General features: G+C 38.6%; 1 protein-coding gene across 1 annotated transcript, besides 1 other annotated feature; it reads left to right on the top strand.

Annotated features, from left to right (window-relative positions):
* Positions 219-10383, top strand: FGF20 (fibroblast growth factor 20). Its single transcript, NM_019851.3, has 3 exons — positions 219-817; positions 6806-6909; positions 9247-10383. Exons 1-3 carry the CDS (start codon positions 532-534, stop codon positions 9490-9492), a joined length of 636 nt encoding a protein of 211 aa, NP_062825.1. The 5' UTR covers positions 219-531; the 3' UTR covers positions 9493-10383.
* Positions 633-702: a silencer, noted in NCBI's record as "silent region_18958". NCBI's record gives its function as "represses an Ori minimal core promoter by ATAC-STARR-seq in GM12878 lymphoblastoid cells {active_cell/tissue: GM12878}" and the evidence as "EXISTENCE:reporter gene assay evidence [ECO:0000049][PMID:35858748]".

Below are 14465 nucleotides of genomic sequence, written 5' to 3'. Positions count from 1 at the left end.
AGTTGCTGGCTGGCTTTGGCCAAGTGCAGGAATGGTTTTTGTGAGGGCATGGATGGAGAAGTGCCAAGGGCCCCTTTTGGTCACTTCCGAAGAGCAAAAACGTGTTGAGAGGAGACCGGTTTAAGATTTCAAACAGAACCTCCCCAGCGCGCATGAAAGGACTTGATTAGCATATGTCAAGAGGACCCGCTTATATACTCGGTGTGTATGTACACAGGACTCTGATCTGATCAGTTTGCGGAATTGGAGCCCCAGCCAACAGCCCTAGTCCTAGTATTGGCAGCGGCAGCTATAGATATTTCTGCAGAGCCAGCAGCCGGCTCCCACCTACCCAAGGAGAGAAGATCGCTCCAAGACAGTGAGAGCTTCCCTGCCATTTCAGTGCAAAGTCCCTCCGGAGCGACCTCAGAGGAGTAACCGGGCCTTAACTTTTTGCGCTCGTTTTGCTATAATTTTTCTCTATCCACCTCCATCCCACCCCCACAACACTCTTTACTGGGGGGGTCTTTTGTGTTCCGGATCTCCCCCTCCATGGCTCCCTTAGCCGAAGTCGGGGGCTTTCTGGGCGGCCTGGAGGGCTTGGGCCAGCAGGTGGGTTCGCATTTCCTGTTGCCTCCTGCCGGGGAGCGGCCGCCGCTGCTGGGCGAGCGCAGGAGCGCGGCGGAGCGGAGCGCGCGCGGCGGGCCGGGGGCTGCGCAGCTGGCGCACCTGCACGGCATCCTGCGCCGCCGGCAGCTCTATTGCCGCACCGGCTTCCACCTGCAGATCCTGCCCGACGGCAGCGTGCAGGGCACCCGGCAGGACCACAGCCTCTTCGGTACGTACTAGCATCCCGACCCCACCCCCATCTGCGCCCCAGCTCGGCTCCTCGTTCCCTCCCCTTGCACCTCCCTCTTTGCCTGCCAAGGGCGTCATCGCCGCGCGGAGCCCGGAGCTCCCCTGGACCCATCCGGTGCAAGACGCAGGCTGGGGCTGAAGGGCTGGCCAGAGCAGCCGCGGGGAGAAATTTTCCTGCTGGTTTGTCGCCGCAGCCTCTAGCAGGGCAGCAGCTCCAGATGCTGGGGGCGGGAGGAGAAAGGGTGGGCGCTTCGCAAGCTCCTTCCTGCCTTCCCCTTGCCCTTCCCACTGCCGGGGACACCAAGACCTGGTGCACTCGGCATCACGGTTCTCGCACTGCTTACCTCGCAGTCAGTTTTAAAAAAAATCCCTGTATGTTTCTCTCCGATTTCCTTTCTCATTTTCCCCCATGCCGTCCACTTTACAAAAATTAATAACAGGAAGCGCCGGGCTTCTTTAAACATGCCCCACAGTTATGCAGCTGATTATGCACCCGGGGCTGCTCTGGGCATGGATTGCGAGCATTTACGTGTCTACCTAGAGACTTGCAAATGTTCACCTGAAGAGGTAGCAGATTAACTTTCCGTGGGCACATTCGCTACCTGTAGGGCTCACCTGTCTGAGGTTCCCTCAGCTCCTAAGTTCTATGTGGGTGAGAAAAGAAAAGGAAAGGGGGGGAGGGGTGGGGGAGGAGGAAGACCACCCGGCTACTGAGCATGCCTAGTTCTTCAGCCAAGCTCCTCTTTGGAAATTGTGCAACCTGAAAGCAAGTATCTTGGTATCGACTTTAGGAAAGAGGAAATGGGAAAGCGAAAGAAGATATGGGTGGGAACACAGACGGACGTGTTTCAGAATACCTCCGGCAGTGCCTGGGAAGAGAAGGGGTTAAAAGAAACAAGAGAATGATTGTTAAGGCAGTGTCTGTTAAGATACTAGATCGGGAGGGTCTCTCCTGTTAATGACTTCCTCACTAGCTGTGTAACTAGAAAGTGCCTTCATCAGTCTGAGGCTTAGTTTTCTGTACAAAGATGGGGTGCTCTCCGGTTCTAATATCCCAGGATCTTTCCCCATAGCTGAAGTTTCCATTCTATTAGTTAACCTGCTAGCAATGTCAAAGGATTTTGATTATCAAACTTTTGACATCATTGGAAAAATTCATTTTATTTTTAAAAAAGATACCATTAATTTGTCACCCACAATCCGTAGCGCTACGGAGTTCTTTGAGAATGCACCCCATCTCTGAATGGCCCTCTCTTATCGTGTCCTTACCCCCTTGTTCTTATAATTATTCCCTTTTTGACTTGTAGGACTCATTAAAACTTTGGAGAAGTGTAAATCTCAGTTTAAGGGGGCATTTGTAACTCTAGATGTAGAAATAAGCATGTGGTGGTCATTTGGTAGCACTTAAAGGCTTAGAAAATTAACTTTTTAAAACCCACATGTTTGCAGCTTCCACTGATCTCTTCCAAATTCCCATTGACTATCAGTCAAGACTGTCATGACCTAGTGGCCAACCTGGGGTCACTTTTAGAAAGTGGTTTTTAAATTGAGGAGGCTTGAGATTTTCTAACTTCTGGCCTCCGGCAATCTTTCCGCCTTGGCCTCCCAAAGTACTGGGATTACAGGCATGAGCCACTGTGCATGGCCCTGAGACTTCGATTCTGAAGAACTTTGCTGACACCAGGTGGCTCAGTTCTCTTGCCTTTAAGGATGACTTCACTGCGCTCATTACAGAAAAATATTCCAACTACCAGAAAGATTTAGAAATAAACACAAATGTGATAATACTTATAGGGAGAGCAGGCAGAAGTTAAGCTTAGGTAATAGTCAGAATTTCACCCTGCCATACACAGTGTAGCCTTGGAAATTCTACTTTTAAGAAACTTGGGGCTGGGCGCAGTGGCTCACGCCTGTAATCCCAGCGCTTTGGGAGGCCGAGGCGGGTGGATCATGAGGTCAGGAGTTCAAGACCAGCCTGGCCAAGATAGTGAAACCCCTCTCTACTAAAAATACAAAAAATACAAAAAAAAAAAAAAAATTAGCTGGGCGTGTTGGTGGGCACCTGTAATCCCAGCTATTTGGGAGGCTGAGGCAGAGAATTGCTTGAACCCGGGAGGCGCAGGTTGCAGTGAGCCAAGATCACACCACTGCACTCCAGCCTTGGCGACAGACCAAGACTCTGTCTCAAAAAAAAAAAAAAAAAAAAAAGGAAACTTGTAATTAAACTGTAATCTCTCCAGTGACAGAAAAAAAAAGGCCTCTTTTACTTTGTGTATGTTTATAAGACTGACCCTATGGGGAGAGATTAGTAAATATTTGTAGACTTGATAACATTCATTAATGGCATTTAACGGCATTTCTTTAGGAATGGAAGTTGAATATCAGAATTATCATCTTGCTCGCACATTTTGTTTTTGCGAAATTTGTGTTAATTATTTAGTAGCTGCAAAAAAATTGACAGATTGAATTTGTGCCAATGTAAGTCACTCTATGGTGGGAGACTATGTATAGGAACAAAATACTGTTAAACAAAAGGAAGATAACCCAGATTAGTCTGGGAGTGAATGGCCGCCTTGTGATGTATTGTAGTACATCCTAGCGGCCTTCAATATCATAGACATCATAACTTACTTTAAGAGAGTGCGGGTAAGAAGAAAGTTTATGTTCAAGCTATATAACATTATGTGCTTCTGTATGTTTGGCTTCTTTTGCTAGTACTTCAGTTACTAATTATTAAATTATTATGTTTTTTAAACTCCTATCTTTGCTATCAGAGTGACAGTTTTGAAAACTTAAGGATGGCTATTTGAGATGTTAAAGGAAATAACTTTTTTTTTTTTGCCAGTTTTATACTAATTTGGCCATGAGTTATCTCTGTATTTATGATGGAGTTTTCCTACACAGTAGTACACAGCAGGAACAGCTTACCTAATATGTAAACATGGAATCATTTCTGAAAAAAAAAAAGTTTAGCCTGAGATCAAACATATTTCTTTAAAGGCTTTTCCTTTATTCTCCCCTATTCTCCATAGATTTGTCTGATGTGGTTGCATTGTGGGTTGACTCACCTGTTTATTATGATTATTAAAAAGACTGGCTTTGAAGGTGATACCAGAAAGGCAAAGTACCTCCAAGTCTTTTTATGGGACACTGGGCATTAGAAAATCTATCTAAAATCTGTGATTACCTCTTAAGGAAAGTTTTTCATGTCTACTCTTTGTAAAGGAATTAGCTTAGTTGCTACCTCATATTATAAATAAGAAAGACTTGTCAAATCTCATTTAAGAATCAAATGATTACAAATTACTACGTGGTATACTATTTCCTCAAGGAGAAAAAGGATCAGAATTTAAAAGTGTGACTAAAATCTTTAAGAGGAACACACACACAAAACACATATCAGTCCCATGAGCCATTGCAAAATTATTTATACCTGGTTATGTATAAGGTTTTGGGTGTTGTTTACTAAAGTTAAAACTATTGCATATAATTATTCTAAGAACATAAATAACCTTTTGTCTTTCTACAGCTACATATTTTTTCGGCAAGCTGACAGCATTAAGATAAGAATTAAAGTGTAGGTGGTTTACCTCTGAGTTTTCCAAGAAAAATAAACACTTTATGAGATTTGTTATATAATTAGCTTATATGGACATTAAAGCCATATTTTATTGTAATTGAAAACTTGCTCTATTCTACATTCTAATCACTTAATCAGTTCCTGTTCTTTGAAAGACAAGAGAATCTTAATGTAAATCAGATACTTAAAGGGAATTAAGTTGCATTTCAACCACAGAACACTTTTTAATTTGAATGTAACATTCAATACAAAGTAATTATACATTTGTAATTATAGCCTGAATGAAGTTACATTAATATATATATTTTCTACCAATTATGTTTTGGGCCTATGTTTTTGTTTCCGGCAGGACTCTTTTGCTAATGAACTTGGCAGTGAGTTTGATTTTCCTTCACTCCCCACCTCTGTATTTGTCATTATGATGGCTGTCCTAAGCCTTCTTGCTGTATCTTATCTTCTCTCTGCCTTAGGCTTTCAATGAGGGATCCTGGCTCTTTCAAGCCACTTATAGACTATTTAGCAGTGTATTGTTGCTGTAAGATCCTTGATAGCTCTAGTGTTCTACATGATCTCCTAATAGTTTGAAAGAGCTCATTTGTCTTGCTAAGAATCTCTGTTTCTGACAAAGAGTGAATTAGGCTTTGGATAGAATAGAGCCCAGCATATCAGCAAATAGTCAGATTCTGTACTTTCCCTTGGCCTTGGGAGTATCACGTGTCCAAACAGGAACTTGTACAATAAATCAAGAAATGACTTAAGAGCAAGAGTCAGGCTAAAGGGTACACATTTATACTGTTTGTAGAGCTCAGGATGGGGTGAAGGGGTGAAGGTAGAATGCTATTGAGGAAGGCAGTGCCAAGCATAGAAAATACAGCTATGCTTTTTCAGCAGAGTTGAAGAGGGAAGAATGAGACAAAGGCATTAGTCCAAAGTTTAGTGTGTGCAGAAAAAAAAGGGTGATCCAGAGGGAGGTGTTAAGTTTTTCTTTTTTAAACTGTGGTTTATCAGTGTATTTAGGGAAGAGTTTTTGATCCCAGTTTACTGATAAATGGAAATAATTCTAGAAAGTTATTGATAGTAAATCTACTTGCATGCTAATTCATTATATTTGGCTATCATATTTAATGAATTATAAAGTCCTTTTTCTTCTCTGAACTATACAATTTAATTTTAAAAATTACACAGCAGGAAACATAGCATGTTATATAATCCAAAAAGTCTTGAAACTACTGTATTGTCCTCAAGAAACAGTGTCCTGAAGTAGAAACAGTGGATTAGGGCTAAGAATGTAAGTTTAAATGTCAGTTCTACCATTTATAAATATCATGTCCCTTAGGCAAGTCAATAAGCCTTTCTGAGCCTCCATTTCTTTATATGTAAAATGGGGATAATAATATCTTCCCTATTTATTTTAAGGGCTTGTTTTTTAGGGCCAGATAAGAAAATACAAACAAATGCCCTTTATTGACTATAAAACACTGTTATACCCAATAAGGGATGCTGCTGCTCCTAGAAACAGATTGACTTGATTTATCGTAGATAAAAACAAAACAATGAATAGAAAATGGTTATAATTAACTGATGAGATCATGGAAAACTGAGAATACCTCTGTTATATACTAATTTATGATAATAATAGCTTCCGTTTGTTGAATGCCTAAATGTGTTAGTCCTCACCCATCTCCTTTAGGGAGGCATTTCATCCATTTTGCATATGAGGAGGTTAAAGTTCAAAGAAGACAAATGACTTGCCTGCTCAACCTGGTTAGTAAGTTCCTGAACTGGAATTCAGACCCAGCTCAGTCTGGTGTAAGGTTTCACACCTTTCACATTATACCATTGTCGTAGTACTTTCTCCTTAGTTCAGTTAAAAGCAGAGGTCCTTGTCACATGACCAGGAAAGACTAGGCTCATGGACACATAGAAGGGTGAGAAAAATGGAATTTATTGGCCAAAAAGGAAAAAAAAACAACTAAGCAAAGCAAGAGAGGTTCGAGGTTCCTGTTAACAGGCCCCCATCTCACAGATTGAATCCCAGGCTACCACCCCATTACAGGAGAGGCCAGGCTCCTCCCCGCTGCAAAGGGTGTCAACTTCCCAAGGCTCCATCCTGTTGTCCCAGCACGCAGGCCGGTCAGAGGTTCTCTGGGAACCCCTTTATACTTGATTGTCTCACCATGGTGAACAATTTTTTCCTTTTTTGTCCTTTTTTCATCTGTCATAAAACAATTGCATAGCTGTTTCCAGTGTACAAAGGACTTTTACACGTACATCATTATATTTGGCAATAATGGCCGACTACCGCTACTATTTGGAAGATTTTTGTTAGTCATATGCTCATGCATAAATACAAAACATGGTGTTTTTATGAATTGTTTACATATGCAGGTATCTTGGAATTCATCAGTGTGGCAGTGGGACTGGTCAGTATTAGAGGTGTGGACAGTGGTCTCTATCTTGGAATGAATGACAAAGGAGAACTCTATGGATCAGTACGTATTATTTTTATTTTTTATTATTATTGTAATTCTTAAAATATTGACTATCTATTATGTAATTAAAATGTCTACCAAGAATGTCTGGTAGAAGTATATAAAACATACTTACGTAGAAATTGAAATCTATCCTGCTAAATTTCCATGTGTCTGGGCAATAGTATAGTAACTCAATTATATTTTTAAAACCCCCAACCATTATTACCTTCAGCTCATTAGTTCTTCCTATACATTACCTTGAGTCTTTCTAGTTTTCTCTGTATTTTAATCATTCCATCCAGAGACAGAGATAAAAGGGAGAATATTTTTTTCTTGCCATGTTAGACTCTCTCACCTTTATGTTTATTTAAGGTAAACTTTCTCTACCTGTTATCATCTTCCACAGCTAAATATACGTCACTTACTTGCTGACCTTTGTATTTAAGAAATAAGTGAGTAAAGTTGTGGGATACTGCAAGTAACAGGAGAAGATGGCAAACACACTGTTCTTCTATGCCTGTAGTCTTGAAAATTTCAGTAGCCATGGGCTCATTCAAAGTTGTATCGGGCAATTTTTAAGTTGCTCCTGGGGATAAGTGCACGTCTGTGGGTCTACTATAAATGTTTAAATATGCCACTTAAGTTATACTTTTCAGGTCAATATTTCATCAGTTTAAGTTTTTTTTTGTTTTTAGAACAAATCTGCAATAGCAACACAAGAATTAGAATAGCAGGACAATATCACACTCTACCTTACAGCACAACATGGATTTTTCTCTTTCATTGTTAACATTTTTTCATTTGTTCACAGTTGCCTAAATGCTTTTATAAGAATTGGTAAGATAAAAATGTATGCCAGTATCCCACTCCTCTTCTTATGTGAACTCTTTTCTTGAGGTTGAAGTCTCTGTAATTATTTCCATCAAGAATTGACTTTGTATGATTAAGCAGATGGCACTCTCTGGTAACTTTTTTTTCTTAAACTCTCAACTGGAACCACAATATTCAGCTAGAGTCTTAATATACACTGAGAAGAATTGGTGATGATATTGAAGTAGATGAATATTTGTCCTTTGTAAGGGTAAAACTTGTTATTTCTAGGCTTCGTGTCAGCTCAGAACAAAGAAAGACAATGCAATGTATAATAATCATAAGTATGGAATTACAATAAGATTAATAGAATTACAATAGAAAAAACATGCACACAATCTTCATGTGTATTTTGGATTTAAAAAAAGCAACTGTGGTTTATCACTTAGGACAATATACAGTCCATTTTGAAAAGACAATAAATCTTAATCGTAAAAGATCCAGATAAAAAATCGTGGAGAATGTATCATCAAACAGTTAGTAAATTCATAAAGAGAAGATATATGATTTGGAGTGATGATCATGAATTTGGAATTTGGTTCTTAGCAAGATCTTGAAATGCTCCAAGGTGAGAGTAGAGACTTGATAGGTAGAACTCTGGCCTCTAACGATGGAAAAAGATAAACTACAGGTCTGCTTGGTAGTGATGGCGGGAGTAGGGTGATGATATGGGACATGAGAAAATTCAGGATATTTTTTAGGTATTTGAAAATAAAATTGGGAACTGACATTTGACTGAAAGTTCTTTAAAGCAGGGGTCCCCAACCCCTGGGCCATAGACTGGTATTGGTCTGTGGCCTGTTAAAAACTGGGCTGCACAGCAGGAGGTGAGCAGCAGGCAAGTGAGCGAAACTTCATCTGAATTTACATGCTGCTCTCCATTGCTCACATTCCCACCTAAGCTCCGCCTCCTGTGAGATCAGCGGCAGCATTAAATTCTCATAGGAGCATGAACCCTATTGTGAACTGTGCATGCGAGGGATCTGGGTTGCATGCTTCTTATGAGAATCTAATGCCTGATGATGTGTCACTGCATCCGTTCACCCCCAGATGGGACAGTCTAGTTGCAAGAAAACAAGCTCAGGGCTCCCACTGATTCTATATTATGATGAGTTGTGTAATTATTTCATTATATATTACAATGTAATAATAATGGGAATGAAGTACACAATAAATGTAATGCACTTGGATCACCCTGAAACCATCCCGTGTCCCCATCCTGGTCCGTGGAAAAATTGTCTTCCATGAAACTGGTCAGTGGTGCCAAAGAGGTGGGGACTGCAACTTTAAAGTACACTGCCAGATGAAGTCACCTGCACTAAGAATCAGAGATGACATATGAACTAAAACAAAATAAAGCAAAACCAATTTAACCTTTTTCTTTCTTTGACAAGGCAAAGAAATGAAAATATAGAGTTGAAACTTGTAAGGAAATTATCTCAAAGGTATTTTTTTAAAAAATAATAGTTATCTTCTCTCTTTCAGGAGAAACTTACTTCCGAATGCATCTTTAGGGAGCAGTTTGAAGAGAACTGGTATAACACCTATTCATCTAACATATATAAACATGGAGACACTGGCCGCAGGTATTTTGTGGCACTTAACAAAGACGGAACTCCAAGAGATGGCGCCAGGTCCAAGAGGCATCAGAAATTTACACATTTCTTACCTAGACCAGTGGATCCAGAAAGAGTTCCAGAATTGTACAAGGACCTACTGATGTACACTTGAAGTGCGATAGTGACATTATGGAAGAGTCAAACCACAACCATTCTTTCTTGTCATAGTTCCCATCATAAAATAATGACCCAAGGAGACGTTCAAAATATTAAAGTCTATTTTCTACTGAGAGACTGGATTTGGAAAGAATATTGAGAAAAAAAACCAAAAAAAATTTTGACTAGAAATAGATCATGATCACTCTTTATATGTGGATTAAGTTCCCTTAGATACATTGGATTAGTCCTTACCAGTAGACTGAAGCCAAAAATCTGTTAAACTGTGGATAATGGGAACCCTCACATGGTTGCTGCTGGTGCCTCACCTCTCTGGATTATGTTTACTTTAAAATTTATGTTAAAAATAGAGACTTCATGTTGAAGAAATGGATTGACTTAGCCAAGAGCATTGCTACATAAATTCTGAGGACCTTGTAGAATTCACAGGTTATGGCATTATATGTTTTAAGAAAAAAAAAAACTAAACAACACCTGGGTGAAACATGAACTATGAAACATGCCACACCAAGACAGAACACTTTTTAAAAGAATGGACCTATTTATACACTTTCAATTTGAAAATATTTATTATATATATTTATTTATTAAAGAGTTTATTTTTTACTGGGATATGAAGATAATACAAAGAGTAAAAAACAACAAAACTTCCGTTATTGTGCCATTACTTTATTGTGGTGTCTTGCTCTGTAAAGAGGACATTATTATACCACCTTAACCATAGAATCAGATTTTGAATTTCTTTTTAAAATATAGTATAGATTATATTTTTTATGCAGTCAATTGCCTTCTAAATGTAACGTTGGTTTCTTTTGGCCTAGAAAAATGCCTCATTGATTTGTATTAAATTCAACACACATTCAAAAGGGAATTAAACATTTTCATGCAGTGTTTTGGCTTCATTGCTTTTCGGGTGACAGTTCTTTTATTTATATAACATTTAAAAATGACAAAATTCTAAATGCCCTAGAGAAAGACTTTAGTATTTAAAGAACTTCTAATGTTGAAAAGTATTGAACATTACAGCCAACTTATGTTTACTTATTTTCTTAATTCAGTGTGGCAAAGACCATTTCTTTCACCCAATATGATTGTAGGAAGAATAAGTCTTTGTACCACCTCCATTAACAATGGTAAGTCCCCATCTACCTGAGTCGGGTATTCTTTTCATTATATCTCTTATTTAGCCATTTATTCAGCAAACATTTTTTTTTAATTTTCTTTTTTAATTAAATTTTTATTGTGGAGATGGAGTCTTGCTATGTTGCCCAGGCTTGTCTCAAACTCCTGGCCTCAAATGATGTTCCCACCTCAGCCTCCCAAAGTATTGGGATTACAGGCATAAGCCACCATGCCTGGCACAGCACAGGTTCATTAAAGGCTACTATACAGTAGTATAGTATAGTGTCAGGCACTAGGGGAAAATGGGGTGGTCCAGATAGAGGTGGGCCCTACATCATGGAGCTTAATGGCTGGTGGGAAAGACAGATAGTAAACAAGTAAATTAACAAATACCATAATTATGAGTGGTGAGTTATTCTATGAGGAAAACAAGGTTCAGACAGAAAAAAAAAGAAAGAATAAATGTAGGATGGCTCAGAGAAAGCTTTTCTAGGGAGATTAGATTTCTGATGGGCCCTAAAGGTTAAGAAGGGGCTACCCAGGTAAAGAGAAGGATGAGAACCTTCTAGGGGGAGGAAACAATGAGTCTGGGGTTCCTAAGGCAGGAAATAGCTTTGTGGCTGGAGCTTAGTGAGCTATGGGGAGAGTGGCACAGATGAGTTTAGAAAGCTAAGCAGATACAAATTCTGATAGATTTGTAAAAGTTCTTCTAAGGTTTTATTTCCTAGTGCCCAACAGTTGTCAATGCTGCTGCCCTCATGGTTGGGCATGTAGTAATGATAGTGGACCAGATGCCACTCTTTACCAACCTGGAGAGCTGGGTAAGACAAGGATTGCTGGCCTCTACCCCCAGAGTTTCTGATGTGTAGTTCTGGGGTGGGGTCTAAAAATGTGCATCTAGTTTCACCTAGTTTCCTAGGTAATGTTGACCACACTTTGAGAGCCACTAGTCTGGAACAGTGTTTCTAACATTTAATGTACATATGAATCACATGGGGATTCTTATTAGAGGATGATCTGGGATTTTGCCTTTCTACAACATCCCAGTGATGCTTGATGTTCCTAGATCTTGAAGCACACTTTGAATGACAAGACTATTGCTTTAATGCTATCTTATTTCTATATTCGTTCACCATCTTCTTACTTACATAAATTAATGCTGATGTGTATGGTGAGAGGAGAGAGTTCAACATATGACTTTAATAAAGCGACACTTGAATGTTCGTGTATGTGAAGAGTTGGGTGTGCACTCGGGTGTGTATATGGGAGAGATAGAGAAGGAAATGTTTTAGCTCAAAACCTCTTGGTTTTATGAATATAAAAAATAGTAAAAATAGTTTAGCAGTAGTACTTAAATAATCTTCAAAATAACCCCATTTTTACTTTTATTTATAAACTAAAAAGTAAAAAACTACTTTTGGTTCAATGTTTGACATCCATATTTGAAGTACATGCCCTAAAGCAAGCATTAAGGAAATATTTTAAGTCTTTTGCAAAGTGGTTCTGGTGTCTAAAACTTGTAACTATGAGGGAAATTGTACACATTTAAAAAGACAGTACACTGATCAAAGATGTCCCCAAATAAACGTTGTTTTGCAATCAAAATTTTTTTGAGATATAACAGGAATATATTTCTAACATTTTTATTGTGACAGACATTTGTAGTAATTTGAGGAATGAAATGTGATTAAAACAATGGTTTTATAAACTTGTAGAAAATTAGAAAGTCACTGTATCTTTTAATCTTATTATGTTTATATACTGGCATCCATTCCTATGTCAGAAAAATAATTTGCCTTTGCTGGACTGACACTATTTGAAGAAATGATTATTGGGTATCCAGAGGGATTTTACTTGATACTGCTAAATGGAAGTTATATGTCAACATAGTAATTAACTCATACATGGAGAGATAAGAATAATTTGGTTTATTATCAAATCGATATTTTGAAACCAATTTATTATATTCTCAGGATGCTAGTGAGAAACTTCATCTGTTATCCTTTTCGTCTCCTTATTTTCTTCATTTAAAAATGTTCTATTAGTAATTATAAATTAACTTTCAGTTTTTATTCTTTTATATTGGAATATTAACTACCAATTGCCAAACTCCTCCACATTTTCTGCAATGATAAGAGAAATCTAAGCATATGGGGGTGGAGAAAACTCTTGGTCTGTCGATTCCAAAGGGTTTGGTTTTTAGACAAATGCAATGTCAAAACAAGGAATTTATTTTATTTATTTATTTTTTATTTTACTTTAAGTTCTAGGATACGTGTGCAAAACATGTAGGTTTGTTATGTAGGTATACATGTGCCGTGGTTTGCTGCACCTACCAACTTGTTTTCTAGGTTTTAAGCCCCACATGCATTAGGTATTTGTCTTAATGCTCTTCCTCCCCTGCCCCCCATCCCCCAACAGGCCCCAGTGTGTGATGTTCCCCTCCCTGTGTCCATGTGTTCTCATTGTTCAACTTCCACTTATGAGTGAGAACATGCAGTGTTTGGTTTTCTGTTCCTGTGTTACAAAACAAGGAATTTATGCCACTAACCCTTTGTGAGATTATAGATCTATCATAAACTTAATGTATAAAAGTAAGAAAGCCATTCAGGCTGTCACTTATGTTCATAATGCAGTTATGGCAATTTCCAGCTTTGTGAATTAGCTAATCATCAGAAATATCTCATATATAATAAAAGCCTGGCTTCAATAGAAAAGTTGTTAAGCCTACAGATACAATGAGTCCTCACTTAATGTTACTGATATATTCTTGGAAACAGTGATACTAAGCAAAAGGACATATAATGAAACCAGTTTTACTGTGGGATAATTGATATAACAAAAGGTACATTCCTATGGCATGTGTCTGATCACAAAAATATCACCAACCCTCTGACTAATGTAGAAATCAAAATAAACTTTTAGAGATGCATCTCTAAGCTTAACGTTTTTGTTGGGGAAGCAAGAATAGCAATGTGAGTCTTTCGCATGTCCAAAGAACAAAGAGAAGGTTAGAAATTTTACAAAAAGGAGAAATGTTCTGTATCATTTTGAAAGAAAGTTCAATTGACACTAGTAAAATGTGGGGAGCTGGCAAGTTCTGATTGGTGAGTGACTGCAGTGGATAGAACTAGTCTTAGGGTCCTAACAGGTTGTTTCTGTAGATATTAGATGAAACTGGTCTCCAGTTATAGCAGGCAGTTTCAGCAGCCAGGCTTGCAGAGAATTACATTCTTGGGGCAATGCTATATGCCCTGAGTGCTCTCTTCCCTCTGGCTTCTTGACTCTGTTTTAGTTGGTTATGACATGAATGACTCAGTTTATATGCTTAACTTTCACACTAATGACCCAAAACACTTTTAATGTTGAACATTGAAATAAATGTCAGTCACATGTACATTTAAGAAAGATTAATAAAAACATAATGTGATGATAATTATTTACTCAATATTTGGTGAATCAGTAAATGACTGTGATTATGGTGGTAGTAGGTTAAATCAAGGAATCAATGTTTGAAAAGCAAAAATTTTTAGGATCACCTCTTACCACCGTGCAATTTACAAACAAATAATGAATGTGGCGGACTTGCTGAGCACTTTCCTATCTCATCTCTTGTCCTGCATTGGTATGATTATTGTACACTTGACAAATTTTTATTTTCCAATAATTTGTATCCATTCATTCGTTTTCCAACTCTCTTATTCAAGTTCAGGGTTTCTAGGTGGCTGGAATCTATTCCGGCAGCTCCAGGGACAAGGTAGAAACCAGCCTGGATAGGATGTCATGCCACCACAGGGCACATTTATGCACACATACACTCTCACAAACAGACAGGGACCATTTACA

This window comes from Homo sapiens, chromosome 8 (assembly GCF_000001405.40).
Source record: "Homo sapiens chromosome 8, GRCh38.p14 Primary Assembly".
Classification (NCBI taxonomy): Eukaryota; Metazoa; Chordata; class Mammalia; order Primates; family Hominidae; genus Homo; species Homo sapiens.
Note: the sequence above shows the minus strand (reverse complement) of the source record. Positions and strands in the feature narration are given on the sequence as shown.